Source organism: Homo sapiens, chromosome 2 (genome assembly GCF_000001405.40).
Source record: "Homo sapiens chromosome 2, GRCh38.p14 Primary Assembly".
Classification (NCBI taxonomy): domain Eukaryota; kingdom Metazoa; phylum Chordata; class Mammalia; order Primates; family Hominidae; genus Homo; species Homo sapiens.
This window is the reverse complement of record NC_000002.12, coordinates 12,271,361-12,295,963: the sequence shown is the minus strand read 5'-3', so window position 1 is coordinate 12,295,963 and position 24,603 is coordinate 12,271,361. Positions and strand designations below refer to the sequence as shown.

The 24,603-nt window shown below is 37.3% G+C and overlaps 1 long non-coding RNA gene across 1 annotated transcript in view, besides 2 other annotated features; it reads right to left on the bottom strand.

Moving 5' to 3' along the window:
• The window catches only part of MIR3681HG (MIR3681 host gene), a 571,233-nt gene that overhangs the window by 282,385 nt on the left and 264,245 nt on the right, over positions 1-24,603 (bottom strand). The window lies entirely within an intron of this gene.
• Positions 18,164-18,308: an enhancer, noted in NCBI's record as "145 bp enhancer 141 fragment used in the MPRA reporter construct; PK_construct_3809". NCBI's record gives its function as "activates an SV40 promoter by MPRA in K562 cells {active_cell/tissue: K562}" and the evidence as "EXISTENCE:reporter gene assay evidence [ECO:0000049][PMID:23512712]".
• Positions 18,231-18,241: a transcriptional cis regulatory region, noted in NCBI's record as "NFE2L2 motif; enhancer activity is reduced when this motif is scrambled". NCBI's record gives its function as "necessary for full MPRA enhancer 141 activity {active_cell/tissue: K562}" and the evidence as "EXISTENCE:site-directed mutagenesis evidence [ECO:0005528][PMID:23512712]".

Below are 24,603 nucleotides of genomic sequence, written 5' to 3'. Positions count from 1 at the left end.
TAGTTCCAGGATTATTATTTCATCTGGGGCTTTCAACAAACTTGCAAGGCAGGCATTTTAATCTCCATTTTATAGATGAAGGAGCAGAAGAATTTCAAGCTATTACAAGTGACGTTTACAAAGGATGTCAGAGACGTAAAGGTTGAAAGACAACAACCTGGCCCACAAATTCTCTCAAATCAACAGAAGCAACAACAATAATAATACAAAGACTTTTTAAAGCCTACCTTTGATATTTGGAAAAATAATCCTTTTTCAAGAACAATATTACAGATTTACCTTCTATATGATGGTTGGTAGCACACATACATATTTTCCCATTTTAACCTTACTCCAACTCTCTGAGACAGAGTTAGAATGTGTAATTGTTTACTACATGTATCTAAGGAAACTGAGGCTTAGAGGAGTTATAGGCAAATACAAGGTCACAAATGTGGCAGTAGAGCTTGATCGTAAACCAGTTCTGCATGGCTTTGTCACAGAAGCTCAACAGGGTAGAGGAGGGAGGAGACAGTGCACCATATGCTTGTCTTGGAGAGGTGGAGTGGGCAACGATCCTTCGAACCAGCTTTTTGTGGAGCCACATATAGCCTGGGAGGTAGTTTTGTTCTAGCTTGACCCTAATGTCATGCCAGATTCTGGGGGGGTAATTCTTATAACTACTTACAAGTCAGCCTGCCTTTTGTTTTTGGTCTAGAGAAATTGGTATAGCATGGGGAGGATGGAGAGAGAGAGAAGGCATGGTAGTTTCCACTTTTGTCCTATACTTCTGATGTTAAACATGAACCTGGATGTTGGAATAAAAAGACTGGTGCCCAGCTCTAGCACTCCAACTAATTACCTGTGTCACCTTGGGCATGCAGCCTCCCTACATCTGTAAAAAGTGAATAAAAGTTCTCACTCACAACTCAAAGTCTGCATTGGAAATTTTGGATGAAGTGAGGGCAAGTCAGCTCTCTTCTCTGGGCCTCAATTTCCCTAAATTTCTCCCCAAAATGGTAAGGCAGACTAGATGATCTCACCCAAGTACCATGCCAGGTGTTTCACACATAGTTACTCATGTCGTTTGCTCAACAAATCTGCACATTCTGTATTATTATCCTCAATTTACAAACAAAGCAATTGAATTCCAGAGTAGTTAAGAAATCTGATCAAAATAGCAAGGCTCAGATGGAGAGCAAAGATTAAAACCCAGGACTAGGAACCCGCTATGTTATCAGACCCACACTTTCAGTTGATAGATTCTCTTCTCTTAGTTGTACAAGGGAGTAGCAATGGTGTTAAAACCAGGCATGGGAGGAGAGACTGTATTAGTGACTACTGATTAAGAAAGAAAAAGAAGAGAGGTCCAAGGAAGCATACTTGCTTCCATTGATGGGACAGTCAGGGCAAGCTGGGAGGGATGGTCATGCTCTTTAGGAGCGATGTCAACCCTGGCCACCTCCCCACTCACCTCCGGTCACTCTGCCACATTAGGTCTCACTTAATCAGGGAAAAATTCTTAGTCCTCTCCATCCCCAAGAGTCAGTTATGTACTCTCCTTCTGTGTTCTCATAGCAGCTTATGCTTATACTTATCACACTATTAAGTGCACTCTTTTTTAATGATCCATTTATTTCTCTTGACTTTTCCCCAAGCTTCAAATGCAGCGAGTGGATTTAATTCATAGTTACAAGTCCAGTGCATGAAATAGCATCTACAGCAACCCATTCCTGGAATAAATGAATGAACATGGAAATTGAGCACGTATTTGCTGCACACTATCAAGATCTTACAGCTCATTCTGTACCTAGATTATGTGTGAAGTCAGTGTTCAGCAGATCAAGATATCTCATAATTTCAGGATCCTAAAAGCTGTGGGAACCACATGAGTTCTTTTCACACAATGACTCATGTTAACCCCAAGTTTCATTTTGAATTCAAAGATTCAAAGCAGAAAACATGCTTCTTGGTTAACTCAAATTTCAACTAGGCCTCAACTGCATATATTTGCATCATTTCCCCCAACTCTTTAGCTCTTCCTTGGTTCAAGACCCTCTTTCTCAACCTTTCCATTTACAGTGCATTTCATAAAAGCATGGTGGTTGTGTAGATAATAAATTGACTCCCCGTTACTTCCCAAAAGCTCTGATATGGAAATCATATGGGTGACTAACTTTCTTCTCCTATATTTAAGATTTTTCTGAATCTACTTGTAAATATTATTGGTCTCTGATCCAAACGATCCATTTGGTACTACAGTAGCTTTTAAGGGGTTTACCCTGGAAATAAGACCCATGACATGACAGACAGCCAAAGCAGCCAACAATGTATTCAGTAATAAACAGTAGGAGTTGACTTTCCAATGTTTCTTTCTTTTTTTTTAAGCCATTTGCAGTTAATATATTTTCTGCAAAACAACTGCAATATAATAATGACTGTCCTTTATTCATTCGACAAACATCTACTGAGTGTCAAACATGCATTAGGTATTGTTATAAAAATTAAAGGTAAAAACAAACGTGAGACTCAGGCTCTGGCCTTGGGGCATCCACTAGAGGAAAGAGGCTTAAACAAAAACAAAAACAAAAAACTACATTAAAATGAGATGAGCACAGTTGTCTCAGAAAATCAATATATACATCTATTAATATAATCTAGAAACCTATTTACTTGTATATAATTATTGCATAAACTGATGATCCTGGAACATTCTGACTAAAGGAAAACTTTGCTTATGAGCATTCAAATTAAATTATTTCAATCATTTTGTTTTAACCCATCAGGACTTTATTGTTGTTGCTGTTAGTTTATTATACAAAAGGAAAAATAAGGCAACAAAAAATTGACCTACGATCCCACCTGTGGATTGCATTCTATTTTTTTTAATTCTTTTTTTTCTTTTTTTTATTATTATACTTTAAGTTCTGGGGTACATGTGCAGAACGTGCAGGTTTGTTACATAGGTATACATATGCCATGGTGGTTTGCTGCACCCATCGGCCTGTCATCTACATTAGGTATTTCTCCTAATGCTATTCTTCCCCTAGCTCCCCACCCCCAACAGGCCCCGATGTGTGATATTACCCTCCCTGTGTCCATGTGTTCTCATTGTTCGACTCCCACTTACGAGTGAGAACATGCGGTGTTTGGTTTTCCGTTCTTGTATTAGTTTGCTAAGAATGATGGTTTCCACCTTTATCCATGTCCCTGCAAAGGACATGAACTCATCTTTTTTATGGATGCATAGTATTCCATGGTATATATGTGCCACATTTTCTTTATCCAGTCTATCATTGATAGGCATTTGGGTTGGTTGCAAGTCTTTGCTATTGTAAATAGTGCCACAATAAACATACGTGTGCATGTCTTTATAGTAGAATGATTTGTAATCCTTTGGGTATAACCCAATAACGGGATTTCTGGGTCAAATGGTTATTTCTAGTTCTAGATTCTTGAGGAATCGCCGCACTGTCTTCCACAAAGGTTGAACTAATTTATACTCCCACCAACAGTGTAAAAGAGAACCAGCAAATTAAGAATGCAATCCAACACTGTTGGTGGGATTGCATTCTTTGTTTGCTGGTTCTCATTTAAGATCTAGCGATCTGTGCCAGAGGAGAGTTGCTCTAATGGCTGGGCAGTGCTTATAGCTCTTTTACTTTTAGAAGGAAACAAGAGACAAAGAAAGCTGGGGAATTCTATAGAAAGTTCTACTTCTAGTTTCAATCCTAATTCTCTCTCCAAACCAAATTGAGAATCAGAAAAATTTACAGGAAAATGGTACCTGAGAGATTATTTCTTCCAATCTCTTCTTGTACTGATGAAGGACTCTAATGCTCAGAGAGAGGCAATATTATGGCCCAGATGAGACAGTGATGCTGGTGGGGGAAGCCCCATATGGAGAGGGGCAAACTCACGTCTTTTCTCATGGTTGTTTTTGTTGTTGTTGTTTTGTTTTGTTTTGTTTTGTTTTGTTGAGACAGGGTCTTGTTCTGTCACTCAGGCTGGAGTGCAGTGGCATGATCATAGCTCACTGCAGCTTCAACCTCCCAGGCTCAATTGATCCTCCCACCTCAGGCTTAGAAGTTGGCTGGGATTTCAGGTGCATGCCACCATGCCAGCTAATTTTTGCATTTTTTGGAGAGATGAGGTTTTGCCGTGTTTCCCAGGCTGTTCTCATGTCTTTTGTCCAAAGAAGAAAAACAAAAATGATAGAGACAATTTAGATGTGATGGGTATATACTTCTGATTGGGTCATAGAAAAATATTTTGGGTGTTTTATTTGAAAGCTGAAAAATAATGGATGAAGTTGCCTAGATCATGAAGAAAATGGGTTAAGCAAATTTGAACTTACTCCCTTCTATTTTTAAATCTCTCAAAAAGAGCACACTACGGAGCACTAGATCTAGATACTAAACTGTATACCAGTCATTTCTACCTGCAGATTTCACAGTCATATCCATCATATCCCAATCTTAGTCATTATCTCCATCTCACATTGCCATGAGACCACATCTCTTCTCAGGGAATGGAACCACTACCTGTCCAATGACCAAGCCAGAAATCTTGAATTCATCTTGGTCTCTTTCTCCAGCATCTTTCATATCAATCTAGTTTGAAGGGCAGTCTACTTTCCAAGTGAGAATTATATCATACAGAGAATTGGAATCAGAAGAAGAACGCATAACTATATTGCTCATATCCCAGAACAGAATGCCTTTCTACAATTTTATGTTGCCTTTTTCTTTTGACTTATTCCACTCATAACAACCATTCCCATCAAGCAATGGGATCTAACCCAGGTCCATGGCAGTTTTCAGAGAACACTAAAGCTACAAAAACAAAACACAGACATGCACAAGGAAATGGGCACCATGATGACAGCCAGCCAAAGCGGCAAACGATGTATTAAATACTGTGAAGTATTCAGACACTAAAATGCATAGGAGGAGTATAAGTGTTTACATATATGCTAGAATAAAACAGGGAATCTCTTAGGATTAAGAGATTATAAAAAAAATGACCAGGCATATTTGAAAAACAACTAAATAATTTTTCTAGAAATCAACACTGAAACATTCAAAGTGAGTTGACCACTGGATATAAATAAGCTGAAGGTTGAATATTTATGATGCAGCACAGCAAAACAAACTACTGTAAACTATCAAATAAATACTGAGAGACAGAGAATGAGGGAGATGCAACATAAAGAAAATCAGAGTTTGGGGAGGTTTGCATTGAAAAAGGGGACGAGGCAAAGTTTGAAGTCACAGTGACAAATTTTTCAAGACTGATAAAACATGGAGTCTTCTGAATTCAGGCAGCCCAACTCAACATACCTCAAATAGAATACATTTAAATTATCTAGACATAGTCTCATGAAACCAAAACCCACTGAAGACAAAGAGAATTCAAAAGCATCAGAAAGAAAGAGCAGATTCGCTACTAAGGAAAGGTAATTGTACCGACAGTAACTCACTACATCGGCAATGGAAACGAGAAGACAAGGAAGTAGTGTCTTCAAACCATTAAGAGACAATAACTGTCAGCAAAATATCTTTCAAGAATAAGAGCAAAATTTTAAGACCTAATATAAGCAAGCCTAATAATGTTTACTATCCACATATACACGCTAAACAAATTCAAAAATATGGTCTTCAGAAAGAAAGAAAATAACCCAAGAAGGAAGGTCTTAGAAGGAAGAAGAAATAGTGATCAAAAACAATAATGTAGGAGCCAGGAGCGGTGGCCCATGCCTGTAATCCTAGCACTTTGGGAGGCTGAGGCAGTCAGATCATCTGAGGTCAGGAGTTCGAGACCAGCCTGGCCAACATGTTGAAACCCCGTCTCTACTAAAAATACAAAAATTTTCTAGGAGTGGTGACACACGTCTGTAGTCCCAGACACTCAGGAGGCTGAGGCAGGAGAATTGCTTAAATCCGGGATTGCGCCACTGCACTCCAGCCTGGGTGACAAAGCAAGACTCTGTCTCAAAAAAAAAAAAAAAAACAACAACAACAACAAAAACCAATGACATGGGTAAATCTAAACAGATATTGATGGCAAAAACCATAATCATAATAAAAATATCTGATTCATGGGGTTAAAAAAAGAGGAGAAACTAAAATAATCTTGATAATTATACTCAGAAGGGGAATGATGGGAATAAAAAAAAGAGCCTAATATTGTTTAGGAGGAAGGTAAATTAACTTTTTAATGTGCCAATTTAATTATTATAATTTACAGGCTAATTAGTAAATATAGACTGTTTAATTTGCAAATGTTTTAAGTAGAAATGAAATAAATAATTTATTCAAAAAAGGTAAGAAAAAATTTTATTCAAAAAAAAGACAAATAGAACGTAGAAAAAACACACTCAGCAAAATAACTTGAAGCTTATTATAGTGATAATATGAAATACAAAATTTATTAAGGTCTATTTTTAAAATATATAGATATATTCTCAAGAAGAATCTCTCACACAAAACACAAAGATCTATGAAAAGTTCTATGTATATAATATAGTTTTAACATAAGAAAAAGAGAAAGTTAGACTAAGCCCCAACTAGGGAGGCCCCTGAAGTTGCCAAGACTGAGCCTGAGTTCTGCAATTTTTCTGCCAAGTAAGTTTCACTCAGAGAGAGAAACATTCTCATCACCTAAAGCTCTGTGTTCATGGTGATCTGTTCTTCTTCACTGACATCTTAGTGTGAGGCCTCAGGTTTTACCACTATTACAGTTGACCTCACACTGTCTTGAAATGCATTCGATGGTTCATTTCTTCGCAGCAGAAATGTCATTCTTTGCCTTCCCATGCAGATGTCAGCAGTGATGGTTTCTTTTATTATCCCTTGGGAGGCAAAATGGGGCCGCGCTGATCAACTATTTTACCACAATTCAAAATTTGTCAACTCTGTGCCCAGAGACCTCATTTTAGACTGAGAGTCCCTGGTTGTGCCCAAGTTCCAGCTCTGTCCAAGGGTATGGCTAACGTTTCAGGAACAGGGACCCTGAAGCAGGGCCCTGGAAGACCCTTCAGTCAGAAGACCCCATTCTGTCTTGACTCCATCTTTTAATATGCCTGAACTTTCTGAACTGAAGATTTCTGGGGAAAGACAGGTCATCAATGACTGTTCCATCCAATCTCTTAAAAGCCCTGTGAAGTAGGATGTTTTTAAAAATCCTCTGTTTTCCAGGTTAGGAACTGAGGCTTCATTAGGGAAGCCATTTTCCTGAGCTTGCACAGAGAGGGGCTTAAACAGAGCTGACATATGAACCTGAACTTCTGAAGCCAAATTCTTGGTCCCGCTCCTGCATCAAGATGCCCTAAAACGATGTTGGGAAACAAAATGAAACGTGTTCAGAAAATGATCTGAATTTATCCAGCACTGGACAAATATCCATAACTGTTATTGTCCCCCAGTATCTTGTTTGCTACTGATATGAATTCTGCCTAGCATGGTTAATTTATAAGCAAATACACATGCTCTGATTCAAGGAGGGTATTCAAGTAAGCCCTCCTTCCCTCCAACATTAACCTTGAAAAACCAATGTAAACAGGATGACAAGTTTATTGTCCTGACACTGAGCTTCCATTCAAGGCACGGAACTGGGGAGGGGAGCCACCCTTTAAACTTTCTCAGCAGTTTAAGTTTAGGATCTTTGTCTGTTCATAGTTGATGGGGGAGAGAAAAGAGAATCTATGGTCTCAAGGCGTTTGTGGTGGGGGCTGCCACCAGAGATGAGAAAGGATAAGAATGTGTTCTTGGAAGGCTGAGATGAGGTCACCTTCATCAGATAAGCATACTCCCCCAGTCTATGGCCATGTGAGAAGAGGGTCTTTGTTAAGCTTCTTCCCCAGCAACACTTTCTGGATTTATTGATTATCTCCAGCAACCCATTGTTCAATCTATCTGATCCAGACTTGGTAAGCTTTATCCCAAGGGCTAAAAATAAAGGTATAGTCAATTGACTTGAAAGAGAATAGGAAATTGATTTCTTAGAGAAGCATTTCATAAATAGTAATGGGTAACATTTATCAAATGTGTACTTTACTTAAGCCAGGCATTATCTCATTTAATCATTTCTTCTTTTAATCTTTCCAACAGCCTTTTACTAGGTCAAGACTATTGTTATGTGCATTTTATAGCTAATAAAGCAAAAGCCCACAACTTTCTCAAGGTCAAGACTCAAACTCAGGGTTGCCTAATTCAGGGCTGTCTATGCTGTTTATGTCAAGTGTTAGTTGGTGATTACCCAAAAACAAATTCTCATTTGGGTAGGTTAGTGGCTTCCTGGGTTTCGAAAAGACTCCTCTCCCAGGGGTGTGAGGGTGTGGAGCAGCCGGTGCTTGCCTTGCCAGCCTGGAGCTGTGAGCCAGACACCTTCCCAGTCCTCTACCCCAGCTGAGTGACTCTGAAATTTATGTCCTGGGCTCAGTTTGTTTGTTTTCTATGAGGAATGACATGGAAATTGGCTGTAGAACTGAATCATGTCAAAAGTTAAAGAAAGCCGAATGGCTTCAAGCACAAACTTTTGATGGTTTACAAATGGGGAATAAATAGTGAAAGTGAAGAAAAGGGAATACAGAAAAAAAAACCCTTCTGTAATTGGCAGAGACATATAACAGATGAGTAACAGGAAACGCCGGAAGGTAAGGTTCAATGCTTAAAAAGGGAGTATCTCAGGAAAGATCTTTATCATAGAGAACTTTATCATAGTGCTTCCTTTCATTTTGGGTTATGAAAGCTAAAATAAGTAGCCTTGTTTCAAGAAAACAGTTTTCCTAAAGGGCAAAGAACAAATGTATTAATGTATACTTAGTGGCTTTGGCAAGTGATTTAAAGGGAAAGTCCTACTCCTTCCAGATTGATGGCCTGCACCTACATACCCATTGGTGGCATCAGCATAAACATTTGACTGCGTCGAGGGTCCAATTTTGATTTCTTGGAGCATCAATTTTCTAACTTAAAATTGGGGCAATAGTCTTATATGACTGTTGTGCTATAGGAAATAAAATAATGATATAGGAGTTAAAAAGAAATTATTCAGGCAGATAGTGAGAATAAGGAAGTCCTCAGTAAGGTTTTCCTTTTAATAAAAAGCAGCCCTAAAATCACTTTTTTTCTAACACAAAGCAGCCTGTAAGATCAAGCTAAAGACATAGATAAGCAAGTTGGAAGCCTGCGTGAGTGAATGCCAGCAGCCATGCCAATAGGAAAAGGCTACACAGGGGTTAGGCATGTTCAACAGGGCAGCTTCATTTTCCCTTTTCTTTGTCAACCACATATGCAGTGAGGAGCAGACAACATGGAGCAGGCCAGGTGGAAAATCCATTCGCATAATAAAAGATTAGGGTGGCATAGCCAGCTTCTTTGCAAACTATGTAAACGTCACACTTGGTCCAACCAATCTTTGGGCCCTATGTAAATCAGACATCACCTTCTCAAGCCAGCCTATAAAACCTCCTGCACTTCACCACAGACCGGAAGACCCACTTGGGCTCCCCATTTTCTCTGCAGGAGAGAGAGCTACTCTCTGTTCTCTTTCTTTTATCTATTAAACCTCCAGTCTTAAACTCACTACTTGTGTGTCCACATCCTTGATTTTCTTAGTGTGAGACAACGAACCTCTGGTACTTAACCCAGACAAAGACGGCACTTCAATAATATATGGGAAAAAACAACTGTAACAAATGCTTATAATAAGCTTTATATAATATAAAGAATTGGTTGCAACAAAATCCCTCTCTTTCTCTTTGACCCCTGAATCAGATACAGCTTCAAGTCCAGAGCACAGTTTCACAGTTAGCTATTGATGTGATTTAACTTTTTCAGAGACTATATCTTAAATATTTTAGATTGTCAACCTGCTGTACAGATAGTAGTCCAGGTAATCCTAGGTAAATAGTATTTGCTGAAAGATTTTTGACTGGTCCTATGGAGAACAAAGAGCCTGAGCCAAGGAAGGTGGGCATCCCTCTTAACATTTTTCCTTAGGAAAAAAAAAAAAAAATCTCGAAGCATGGGTCTCCTAATAAAAGCTGCAATTCATACATTATGCTTGAGGCCAAATATGTAACTTGTGATGCCCAGAGTGAAATGTTATCACAGGTTCCTCAGTTTAAAAAGCAAGATAAAAGAAGATCAGGTAAACGCAATAAAATACAAAACTTTTTTCTCTAAGAAATAGTTTGTTAATTATAAAACATGATGGGGTAAAAGAAGTACATGATTAATGCTATAAACTTAAAAATTATAAAAAATAATATTTCAGTGTCACGATTTTATTTAATACAATAAATAATACTGATTAATGTGATGTCTTCCTTGATCATAACATTTTTATGTCTTGCTTTTCTGCAAATTAGGACATCAGAATTTATACTTTTTGTAACTTCATTTTCAATCTGTATAATTAAAAGTGACATCAGTCACTCTTGAAAAATGCAAGATCACAAATAATTTTTGATAGTTTTTAATTTTCAGAATAATCTTTCTGCTGATGGAACTGTTCTTGAAACTATTAAGAGTATGCTTAGGTTATGACAATTCTGATATATTTTTTGAAAATATAAATTGTACATCTGGAGTTGATGATTCTTAGAGAACATTTTTTCTAAAAAGATTTAACTCTTTATACAATTAGTTTCAGGAAAGTCTGAAATTAACTTAAAATATAAGGTTATGCAATGGTACTTCCTACAACTTGTGGTGATCATACAAGAAACTTAAAGTGACTTTATGATTTGTAGGTGATTCAAAATATCTGTTCATCCATTTTATCATTGTAGCTACAATCACAATGAAAATTCATTTTAAAATTGTCTTCCTCATCAATTCCTGGTTCATCGGAAGCTTTATTTGAAAATAGTGTTTTTCTCAAGTAAATATAGTAATCTTTGCATTTAACCTCTATTTCTAGACCAGTAGGTATTTGCTTTGCTATGTTAAGCAATTTTCAAAAGCATAGATTCTAAACTCTCTGAAGAATTTTAATAGCTGTCTTATATGTTTTTATTACAATGTCCATGTGTACTTTTTTTTAACTGAGGTAAAATTCACATCCCCTATAATTAATCATTTGACATTATACAATTCAGTGGTATTTGACACATTCACAATGTTGTAAAACCACTACCTCTCTCTGGTTTCAAAACCTTTGATTACCACAGAAAAACACTCCATAACTATTAAGCAATCATTCTTCATTCCCTGCTGTTCTACCCTGGAAACCATCAATCTACTTTCTTTATCAAGTTTCCTATTCTGGATAACCCATATAAAAGGAGTCATACAATGTGTAACATTTTGTGGTCTGGCCTCTTTCACTTAGCATAATGTTTTTGAGGTTTATCCAAGTTGTAGCATGAATCAGCACTCCATACCTTTTTAGGATCGATTAGTTGTATATAGATACCACAATTTGTTTCTCCTTTTATTCAGTGATGGACATTTGCGTTATTTCTACCTTGTGAATACAACTGTTATAAGCACTTGTGGAAAAGTTTTTTGATATTGTTTAAATACCTGTTATCCAGTCTCTAGGGTACATACTTAGGGGTAGAATGGCTGATCATACAATAATTCTAAGTTTAAATTTCGAAGAACCACCAAATTGTTTTCCACAGTAACTGCACCATTTTACATTCCCACCAGCAAAGAACAAGGATTCCAATTTCTCCACATCCCTGTCAACACTTGTTATTTTCCTTTCTTTCTTTTTTTTAATACTCATGCTAGTGGACGTGAAATGGTTCTCGTGGTTTTGGCTGGTGCTGTTGAATCTCTTTTCATGTACTGGTCGGACGTGTTCATATTTTCTTTGGAGAAATATCTACTCCAGTCTTTGTCCATGTGGGAGATTGTTTTTCTTTTTATTGTTAAATTATAAGAATTCTTTATATAATCTGGATACTAGACCTTTATATCAGATATATGATTTGCAGACATTTTCCACCATTCTGTAGAATGTCTTTTCACTTTCTTGATAATGTATTTGGAGGCACAAATATTTTTAATTTTTATTAATCCAATTTGTCTTTTTCTTTTGTTGCTTAAGCTTTTGATGCCAAATCTAAGAATCCATTGCCAAACAAGAAGCCATGAACATTTATCCCTGTGTTATTTGTACCAGCTTTGTTGTTTTAGCTCTTATACTTAGGTCATTGATTAATTTTGAGTTAATTTTTATATTTGGAGTGAAGAAAGGAGTCCAAATTTCTTCTTTTGCATATGGTTTTTTAGTTATCCTAGCACCAATTATTTAAGAGTCTATTCTTTCCTTGTTGAAGGGTCTTGGCAACGTTGCTGAAAATCAATTGGCCATAGATGTTTGGGTTTGTTTCTGGATTCTCATTCTGTTACATTGGCCTATATGCCTATACTTATGGCTGTGCTATGCTGTGTTGATTACCACAGCTTTGTGGTAAGTTTTGAAACTGAAAATTTGTGAGGCCTCCAATTTTGTTTTTATTTTGTTTTAATATTGTTTTGGCTATTTGGAGCACCTTGAAATTCCATATGAATTTGAGAATTAGCTTTGTCATTTCAGGGGAAAAAAGGCCATTGATGGGGATTATATTGATTCTGTAGATCTTTTTTAGGGAGTAGTTTCTTTACAATATTAAGTGCTCTAATTCATAAATATAGATTATCTTTTTACTTATTTCCTCTTTAATTTATTTCAGAAATGTTTTATAGTTTTCAGTGTACAAGTCTTTCACTTCTCTAAAATTTATTTCTGGGTATTTTATTCTTTCAATATTAGTGTAAATAATTTTTTTCTTAATTTCCTTTTTGAATTGTTCATTGTTGGCAAATAGAAATGCAAATGATTTTGGTGTGTTGACCTTATACCCTGAAACTTTGCTAAACTTAGTTCTAGTAGGTTTGTGTGTGTGTGTGCGTGTGTGTGCATATTCTTTGGGATTTTCTTATAGAGAACGTGTCATCTGCAAATAGAGATCATTTTACTTCCTTTCCAAATTGGATTATTTTTGTTTCTCTTTCCTTTTCTTGCCTAATTTTTCTGGCTAGGACTAGCAGTATAATGCTGAATAGCAGGGCTAGGCAGTACTTCCTAATGAAGAGTTTTAGGGGATTTCAAACTCATTTTTAAAATAGATAAAAAATGTCACATCTTCAGATGAGTTTGCAGTAACAATTGATTGACATCAGGAAAGGCTGACATTTATAAGCCAAATTCAAAAGCAAAAAATGGAAAAAGAAAATTTTACATAATTGGTAATTGGGACTAAAATACGTGCATCAATATTTAAAGAAAAGCCAAGGATGCATTTCTTCCATTTTGATTTATGTGTTCCTATAAAGAAAACTTTTCAGCTACAATATTTTTTTAAAAACTATTAAATAACATGAAATTAAAATCAGATTCTCAATCACTAAGTGCAAATAATTAAAATAATGCTTGAGAAATAAGCATAGTCAATCATATTGTTCTCAATAAAAATGGTATTAATAAAAAAATTTTAATCAAAATATTCTATTGAGTTGAAAAAACAAATCATTTTACTGTTATGTATCTTACTTTTTAAAAGTATATTTACAAAATGCAATAAAATTATTTATAATAAATAGTATATTGGGCTGTATGTTCAAATATTTTTCCTAATAGTGTTGAGTGATCAAAAGGCTTTAGGGACTATTGCCAGAGACATGTATGTGTATGATTTATCTGTAATACTAGGCCATTAACTCAAAGAAATCAGTATTCATTTCTGATTCTTTTCTAACCCCCACAGCACATGGCACAATACCTTGCACATGGCAAATGATCAGTAATTACTTGTTGAACAAATCAAAGAATAAATTCACAAGACTGTGTAGTTACTTATCTGGAAGTAATGGTTGACCACCCATCTGCCAATTCTTAGTGAAGGAATTGTTTTCCTGCTTACTACACTGATTTTATTGTAACTCATTCAAGTCAGTCAAAATACATAACTTCCCTTCCAACTTCTCTACTCCAGGCCATCCTGTCAACATGTCTGCATTATTCTGTCTACCTAGTAGGTATTTACTAAATATATGCTAACTTAATTGCACTTTTATAATGAGACAGATGTAAATATTTCCATAAAAAACAAAGACCGTTAAAAATTAAATGATACAACAAGAAAAAAATAAATGCTTAAAATAATGCAATGAAAGTATTATTTTCTGTCTTTCAGTTTAAAAGCTTTTCAGCGACTCTTTTAACTTTAATCTTTGAGTGTTGGAGAAGAGACATGAGTGTGTGCTGGAAAATAGCTCTTCTAGAGCATTGTTCAGGCAATGGGTTCTTGTTGGAGGGAAGGGAAGATTTTTTTATTTTCAGTGCAAATATGTAAGCAACTCAAGATGACATCTTCCTAGGTCCTGTGCTCATGTCTGGTTCTTAAGGAGAGCAAGATACAACAAAGAATTTTCACAAAAATTACATATTTCTATTGCTGAAGTCCTGGTAAAGGGAATTTCTATTTTCAGCAATGCTGGTATAGGTGATCTGAACTCACTCCTCCACCCAGGACAATGTGCAAATTAGAAACCATCCTTAGGAACATAAAGCCACTCCAAAATGATTAGAGATATAATTGACATAATGAAAAGACCAATATAATAAAGATGGAAAGAATTGCTACTTACCAAAATCAGCTACAAATTTGATTCCATACCAGCAAAAACTCCCATTAGTTCACTTTTTAGTTGAAAAACATCCTCAAATCATTTTTCAGATGATCTGTACTAATACATAAAGCTGAATAGGTCACTGCCTTGTTTAATACCTTTTACTGCCTCCCCATTTCCCTCAAGATAAAATACAAACTCCTTAAAAGAGTTTCCTGGCCTGGCTCCTGCCTCCTTCTTCAGTCTGGGCTCACCTTCCTATCACCAGGAAGTGGCACCTCTAGGTGTTTGAAGAAGTGGTTTCTTCTTTCTGGAGGATTTCTATTTTCCCTAACTTCCTTGGCAGATACCTCCTAACTGATATCTCAGAACTCAGCTTATGTGTCACCTCCACACCAGCCGGCCGGTTTTGGGAGCCTGTCCTCTAGATTCTCATGGTTCCTGGACCTAATTCTACCATGGCATGTACTTCCTCTGTGTGCTGCCAACACTGGTGACTGCCCCATCTCCAACATTTGACAGTGGGCTCTCTGCATTTTCTCAGCTGGCATGGTGCCGTCACATAAGATGCTAAATAATTACTGAAAGGGTCAATGAATGAACAAGTGAATGAATTGAAGCAGCAAAAATACATTGATTTGTTTTTGTCTCCAAAGACAAGAGCCCACTTGCTGCCGATATGAAGAGAGTGATTTTCTGCTGCTGGGTAAATAGTTTCACCTCCCATTTTAAGTTTTAGTTGGCTAAATGCATACCTAGACATCTATATTCCATCTATTCATCCAATCAACAAATATTTATTTGTTACTTGCTATGTTCCACATGTGGTATTAGATCGAACCGTAATTGTTCGATCATTATGTTCGAAATTGTTGACATTAGATGGTTTAAAACATTTTCATATGGTACAACCTCCTGTAACCACTGTAGGGGAAAAGTACCTCTCTGGTCTCATGCTCATGGAAATCAGGGTGTGTGACAGACAATTCTCATACAATGTAGTAAGTACAGGTACTCCTAAAATGATTCTCTTTTGGAAGTTATATCAAATAAAATGCTGATAGCTCTTTGAATCGGGAAAACATTGACCTCATAGACATTTGTAATCAATTAGTTCACAAATGTTGGTTATTGGAGAGTCAACGTTTTCCAAGGCAGAAAATGGAAAATAGCATTATCTGTAGACCAATGGAGAAAATATCTGCCCAGGCTTGCCTGCTGAAAAATAGCATGGTAGTATATTTGAAAACCAAAAGACCCTAAGTACAATATGTTATAGAAGACGTAATGAGCACTGACAATATGACAGAATTTTATGTTGACTTAAAGCAGCCCCAGTCCCTGCCTAACGAATCTGCAGTCCAAGTTCTGTGGACAATCCTGAGAGAAGATAAAAATACACTAGAGGAAAGATGAATGCCTGCAATGAAGCGATCCCAAATGGCTCCTATCACAAATGGGGTTCCAGGAACCTCAGCGCTGCTTTCTGTATAAAGGCAGCACAGATGAACTTTAAAAAGGTGTTTTTCTTGTTAAAATTATACCATAATAGCGCCGTGGATTTCCTTTCAGCCCACTACCTCATGGACACAGCTGGAAGCCTGGGAAGCAGGTCGGTGTGCCCCTTTTCATCCCCTTCATTCCCCATCAGAGTGCCATGAAAACTGAAAACTGAAATACGGGCTTAAAAAGGCTATTTTTCTTCCAGTTCATGTAGGACGTGAGGCAAACCAAATTATTCTATGTGTATAAGGACTCCAGCTTCCTAAGGTATAGACGGGTTGATTGGGCACAGGCCTGGGCACAACCAGACACTCAGTAAACCATGTCATAACCGAAGTATGAGAATTAGAAAGGCATGAGTTTGTATGGTGGTGTTGTCATAAAGGCATACTGTATTAGTCCACTTTCACACTGCTAATAAAGGCATACCCAGATAAATTTTAAAGAAAAAGAGGTTTAATGGACTCACAGTTCCATGTGGCTGGGGAGGCCTCACAATCATGGTGGAAGTCGAAAAGCACATCTTAAATGGCAGCAGGCAAGACAGAATCAGAGCCAAGCGAAAGGGGTTTCCCCCTATAAAACCATCAGCTCTCATGAGACTCATTCACTCCCATGAGAACGATATGGGAGAAACCGCTCCCATGATGCAATTATCTCCCACTGGGTCCCTCCCACAGCACATGGGAATTATGAGATCTACAATTCAAGATGAGATTTGGGCAAGGACACAGCCAAACCATATCACATACGGTGTAGAATCAGAGCCTAGACCGGGTGTGGTGGCTCACACCTGTAATCCCAGCACTTTGGGAGGCTAAGGCAGGCGGATCACCTGAGGTCAGGAGTTCAAGACCAGCCTGGCCAACATGGTGAAACCCTGCCTCTACTAAAAATACAAAAATTAGCTGGGCATGGTGGTGGGAGCCTGAAATCCCAGCTACTTGGGAGGCTGAGGCAGGAGAATTGCTTGAACCCAGGAGGCAGAGGTTGCAGTGAGCTGAGATCACGCCACTGCACTCCAGCCTGGGTGACAGAGTGAGACTCCAGCTCAAAATAAATAAATAAATAAAAGAATCAGAGCCTAAGTTCAAATTCTTCTGCTGCTTGATCTTTTTATGGCCTATACCTCACTGGGATAGGTTTTCTTATCAGAAAAGAGGGGAACAATAATACCTACCATAAATAATTGTGAATACTAAATAATTATTTTTGGAAACATTCAGACACAATGCCTATGGTCCAGTAATTCGGTGATTCACTCTCAATAAATGTGAGCTGAACTCAAACGTACTGAAACTGCATACATGTCCCCTGGAATAATTATTCACCTTCTCAGCAGCTTTCATGCATTCACTCCTTGAAGCTGGGTGAGTGAGGTGTGACAAGAGGGACAATTACAATTAGAAAAATCCGTCTGTCTTGGGTGTGATCCTTTGATAACTGTAAAGTGTCCGTTAGCCCCACACCACAATCTTTTGTTGGCAGAAGGATTGCTGATGATCTGAAAGTGCTTAGAATTGCACCTCAATTGCATCCTAATTATTAGGTTCTTATTATGAAATTCTTCAAGATCAAAGCTAGTAATTGAAGATTGTGCTATTGGAACACCTGTGGCATGGGCAAGAGGAACATTTAGCTCTCATTTGCTTTGCGCTTTTTCTTTATCATATAAAGTCTCATCCCAGATAGACATGAACAAGTAATAAAACCTCACTAAGGATGTTTTTTTTTAACCTTAAAATTGGTATGATGATAGAATTACAAAGAATAATGAGAGAAATAGACATGAAGTCCTTAGAGTATGTGGGACATGTTCGATGCTCAGTAAATGGCCATTATTGCCATCATGGTATTGAAGGTAAGTAAATCTAGATACAAATCCTGGACTTTATCATTGCTAAGTCTGTGACACTAGAGCAGTAAAACTTTCTGAACCCACTTTCTCATCTACACAAATGGGATTAATGCTACTCACCCTTTAGGACTGTGTAAAGATTAGAGAATGTGGAGAAAGTTCCTGGGCTTCATGGCCTTAGCAGAGTCCTTTTTTTCCTGTCCTGTAGTCCTGTATCTCACATGCTCTGAGTTTATCACCCTCAGAATGTCCTTGAGAGAGTGACTCAGCAAAGGGAGTTCCTTAAGAAGCCCCCAACCAACACAAACTGAGTTCAGATAAGGACAAACCATTTCCCACAACACCAGCAGAGTCCTGGGTTTCTTTTTCCCCTATCTTAAGAGCCACGTGTGTGTTAAAAGGGGGTCAGTTCATGCTTGTGTGTCTGCCTCTCAGCTATTCTTCAAGCTCCCAAGGTTTGGCTCAGGGTTGTAAAATAATATTAAGTTCTGACAGTGTAAGAAGTGTGCCCGGAAAAAAAATAACCAGAGCAGGAAGGAGAAGAAAAGCATGAGAAGAGTGCAGATGAGTTTTGCAGCTGGTTTTGCATTAGAAGGGGAACATTAGCATTAGACACAGGAAAACGTCGGCTGCGGAGCCCAAGTTTCCTTCACACAAAGGTCACCAGCTCTTCACTGTGAATAAACTCATGTTGCAGGTATGATGTTGCTTATGCAGTTTCTCGTTCCTCCATACTAAAAGGTTTTCAGCTTGGCAGCATTTTCCCCTGCACTAATCCAACTCTCCTTGGAAAATGTCATCCCGCTTGAATTTTCATAGCTCTGTCCTCACTCAGGCACCTGGGATTTCCGGATCAAAGCTGCCAATCCAGTGAAACTAGGCACCAGTATGTGTGGGAGAAGTAGTTCATTACTGTGGTCACCCAAGTGGGTTAATTTCAAACAAACGTCAAGAGGTTTCTTTTCTGCCCATTTTCCTCGGTTTACTTTTTTTCTACATAGGCAAGGAAGTCTATCTCTGGCAGTCTTTATTGGTGAGTAAGTTGGACAGTTCACATCAGTCCCTCATTCAGAAAAGGACTCAAGGTGTAGCTGCCCTTTTGCAAGGAATGGAAGAGATATGGTGGGATACCGATGGGAACTGTCAGGTCACTATGTGCATCATCCCTGTAGAAAGGACTGTCAGATAAACTGTGGAAGGAAATTACCACTTCCCGAGCTTCCATTCTATGCCAAGCTCTTCATAGGCATAAGAAGCTAAACAAATTGCCTAATGATAAAGAGCAAAGAAGTAAAAAACTGCTCAAGACAAGCTGATCTCAAATCTCATTTTTTTGTCCTTGTACCATATAGCCGGGACCGTATGGGACCAATTTTAGAGACAGTGTCTCGGTGGCAAGACCTCAATTTAAAATGCGGTGTAACCAGGCATAGTTTTTCCAACCTTTATGTCTTTTGTGGGCTTAGAGATGATGAGTAGGCTCCACAAAACTTGCCTTAAGCATTAACACACATAATACAGCAAATACTGTGTTTGGAAAACAGTGCTCAATTTTATGAAATTTGTTATTTATTCTGAGGCTCACACACAAGTTCTTTAACTAATGCCCTGTGATCTCATGTAAGTTTGTTATACCTGAAACTGGTTAATTTCTAAAGAACAGAAATTTATTTCTCACAGTTCTGGAGGCTGGAAGTCCAAGATCAAGGTGACAGCAGATTCTGTGTCTGGTGAGGGCTGTTCTCTGCACTGAGGATGACACCTCTTGCTGTGTCTTTACATGGCAGAAGGGATGGAAGGGCAGAAGGGACCTAGATAGTTCCCTGGAGCCCTTTTATAAAGGCATTAATCCCACTCATGAGGGTAGAGCCCACATGACTTGAAATCAACTCTGAAATGCTCCACCTCTTAATACTATTACATCGGGTCTTGATTTCCAACTATAAATTTTGGGAGGACACATACATTCACATCATAGCAAACTCTAAATAATTAATCCACAGAAGAGGGGTCACATGAGGGGTAAAAAAAATAAGGGTCTTGGATATGAGAAAAGAAAGTATCATTATTCACATGCAAGGAAAACAGCCGGAACTCATTCCAAGAAGACAAAATGGCGGAAAAGAAGGGGAGAAGAGAACTCGAAATACTCTGATTCCAGTGGGATCAGCCTTATCTGGTGCTCCAGCTTGATCTCTTTTCCTCCATTCTTGCCCTTGCCTATCCAGCTTTCTCACACTCACCAGAGTTGACTTTCTAATCCACCAACCTGACAGTGTCACTCTTCTTTTGCTGTCAGTGGACTCTCACAAAGTATAGGAGAGGATCCAGGACAAGGAAGAACTTCAAGAAGCTGCTTGCAGCTCCCACCCCAGCCGCCCTCCACTGCTCGCCACACAGAATCAACTCAGATGTTCCCTCTCCTGGAATGTCTTCCACCTGTTAAGCCAACACTGTGTAGACATGTCAAAGTACTTACCACCCTATATTGTAGTTTCATGCTCTACATCTCACCTCAGAATTTTAAATACTTTTACTAATATATTTAAGAAAACATAAAACAAGACATTTTCTTTTTTTTTTTTTTTTTTCCCAGACGGAGTCTCGCTTTGTTGCCCAGGCTGGAGTGCAGTGGTGCGATCTCGGCTCATTGCAAGCTCCGCCTCCCGGGTTCACGCCATTCTCCTGCCTCAGCCTCCCAAGAAGCTGGAACTACAGGCACCCGCCACAACGCCCAGCTAATTTTTTGTATTTTTAGTGGAGACGGGGTTTCACCGTGTTAGCCAGGATGGTCTCGATCTCCTGACCTCGTGATCCTCCTGCCTCGGCCTCCCAAAGTGCTGGGATTACAGGCGTGAGCCACCGTGCCCGGGTGACATTTTCTTTAATGCACAGAAACCATAAAAATAATCACATGCAAATTATAGAACTAAAATAAAACAACTGACATAAACCATCAGTGGGTGTGTTTCAGAGAACTTTGCACATAGCTTTAGAGAATTGGTGAAATTAAAGCTAAATCTATAGCAGATATACAGGCTGAAATCCAGAGAGAAATTGATGGAAAATACAAAAAAGAAAAAAGAATATATGAGCAGAAAAAGAAGAAAAAAAAAAAAACTAACATGCAAGTAATTGAAATTCCAGAAAGAAAAAAAAAGGGCCAAAAATCAATATCTGAAGACACAATGTATGCCAGTTTTCCAAACCAATAAAATATATCCCAAGAAAGAAAAAACACAAATAAAATTCCATGTAAGCCCATCGTAGCCAGACTTCAGAAAAACAAAAAAATTCCTAAAATCTGCCAGAGAGAAAAAAATGCACATTGCCTTTAATACAGCAACAATAAGAGCAGTAGGGAAGACAGAAGACCAGAAGGATGTTATTAAAAAGTAACTGCCAACCTAGAATTCTATAACAATAAAAATGTCTCCAAAAAATGAAAATGAGGATATATACTAGGACAAATGGTCACTGAAATCATTATAGATAAACAAAGCTGAGTTAATTTGTCACCAGCAGAAACCCACTTAAGGAAATACTAGACGGGATTACGTAGGAAGAAGAAAAGTAATCCCCAGTGAAAATTCAGAGATGTAAGGTGGTGTGATGAATACTGGAAAAAGATTAATAAATAGATAAATATAGGTAATTGTGACTGCAGAAAAAGATGACAATTAAAAATACAAAAGATGAGAAGGGACAAAACATATCAAACTATCCTTAGCCCCTTGGATTATGATACACTCAACATGTTTAACTTCAGTGTGTGAAGAAGGGATTATGTAACCATTGGGTAACCATCAAAATAATGATGAAAGCATGTACAACTAACAGGCTTGGGAGTGTGCTTAAGGGGGAATTATTTTAAAATACTTCATTAATCCAACAAATAGAAAGGACACAGAAGAAAATAGAAGAGATGTGAAAAATAGAAAACAAATACCAAGATGGAGGCTATAAGTCTAAATATATCAGTACTCACATTAAATATGCATTTAGCAACTAAAAGACAAATGTCAGGTTATATTAAAATAAACTATACCTTGCTAATAAGAAGCATATCTATAATAAAAGAGTAAAGAAACACTGGCAATAAAAGGATAAGAAGATCAACACCATACAAACTCTAGGTGAGCCCAAGCTGTTGTCAAAGCATAAGGCGAAAAGAATACCAGAGATGTAGTTACAATAGGGTCCCCCAACTAGTAATACATAATTTTAAATTAACCAAAACTATAACCATAAAAAAAGAAGAAACTTAAAAGGAAAAATGGAAAAATCCACAACCATAAAGAAAGATTTTCATATACCTCTCTCAGAAGTAATAAACCAAGCAAAAATAAATCAGACAAAATGGATACAGCAAATTTCAATATATGATTTGAATAATTCACCTAATTGACATATATAGAACAATGCACCCCAAAATTCCAAAAATTGCAAATTATATACATAGGACATTTATAAAATTTTCCATATGCTGGGCCATGAAGCAAGAATAAGCCAGTTCCAAAAGACTAAAAATCATACAGATTTTTCTCTGTTAACAGAAAAATTAAGCTGGATACAACAAAAAAAGATAATGATTAAAAACCTCCAAATATTTGGAAATTAAGCAAGACACTGCTAAATAATACGAGTCAAAATGAAAATCACAACAGAAACTGAGAACTATTTTTAACTGACTGTACAAATATGTTGTACAAATGTACAACATATTATTTACTATGAGAGACTGGTAAAGGCATTATTAGAGGGAAATTTATAGCTAAATTAAGCACAAAATTTTAAAAGAAAGTAGATAAGAACTATAACAGCAGAAATAAACAAAATAGAAAACAAATAAAAGGATCAACTATGTCCCTTTTGAGGACTAAATTATTTTTCCCATGAGAATTTTACATGGAAAAGTTGCCAATCCTAGCTAGATCTTATCTAAGAGAATATGCTGAAGTTTACTACTGTGTTCTTTAATCTCTTAGGGATTACATTTGCCTAGGCCGTTGAGATAAAATAAACCTCTCTGTTCTCAAAGACCTACCTCGCATAAAAACTAGGATAGTCGCTTTTCCAATTTTGGTTTTATTATCTTTGTCTGTAATAAAAGGAGAGTTAGACTTCACTGGATAATATCTAAGGGCTTGGCTGGACCTCAAATAATATGTGTGCCTGATTTCACTGCTATGATCAAGAATTTTCTACCTCTTCATTTAGATTTATAGTTAACTGCTCAGGTTAGTTTGAAAAATGTTTTCTAAACACCTATAATGTGAAAAGCATTATATATATACACACTAACCTTGGGTTAAATGTCAGGTGGAAAGAAAGATAGGTGAACAAATGATTATATTAATAATACAGTATGCAATGTGCCAGAATAAGCCTATAGCATGTCAGCGGGAATGGTGGTCTGTGGACCTCCGTAAAATCAGTGTTCACACTGGCAAAAATCAGTGTTTTTTTTTTTTTTTCATTAAAATTAACATTTTCAGAACTCTGAAGATAACTCAAAGGCTTGCATCAATCCTGCAGAGTGTTTCAGGAAAAAAAAAAAGGCTGGATCTCAGTAAAGAAGACTGAGTTTTGACATTTTAACTATCCCTATTTCCATCCCCTCCTCCAAAGCTTTTCAGTAGTCTTGAAAGCCAATAGCTTCACAACTGGGTTAGCTATGGAAAGCAGCACGCTAGCAGTGACTAGAATGAGCACAACTGGTTTGAAACGCTCCAAAAGCCTCATGTGCCAGAGAATTGTCACTATTTGTCCTATCCACATATGCTTGAAAAGCTCCATTTTCAGGACTTGCCTTCATTTGACCTGACTCAAGGATTGCTCTGAGAAAAAAGACTTACCTCTAAAGTGTCAAAAAAAAACCAGTGGCAATAGTTTAACATAATGACTATAAAAATGTGATACCTCTTAGAGCTAGCAAAAGGCAAACGAACAAAAAATAAATAAAAAACTGGAGATTGAAATATCCGTAAGATGCCTTTAAAAGCTCTAATATATTCTTGTTTTGTCAATTATCACTTTATGTATTTTGATGACATTATTATATGCATACAGATTTATAATAATGATAGCTTCAGGGTAAATTGAAACATTTATTGTTAATAAATGTTATTCTTATTAGTAATAATGCAATAATGCCAATGCACTAGTCTGCTTTGTCTGAGAGTAAAATAGAGGAAATACATTTTGGTTGACTTTTACGTGGTATGTCTTTTTTGTCCTTTCACTTTCAATATTTCTGAATCCTTGCTTTTACAGTGTAATTCATATTTTAAGTGTTTTTTACTTTTCTTATCCAGCTGGAAATTCTTCATTGTTATTTCAAGTTTTAAATTACATGTGATATAATTACTGATATATTTGGGTTGAAACTACCATATTTTCAGGCCACAATGAAGTAGCTGAAACCAGAATAGTCTTCCCATCATAAAAGACTGTAAAGTTTTATACATTAACTCTTTGAGGACAACAGGCAGCTAAAGGCAGCAATCATCTCAGAATCGTGATTCAGATGGTGAGCCCCACAATTACCCACTTCTGTGCATGCTGACAACTTCTTGACTGAAGTTTAGAAAGCTGAGGTGAGAGCAGAGCACAAGCAGTCCTTCCGAGTTG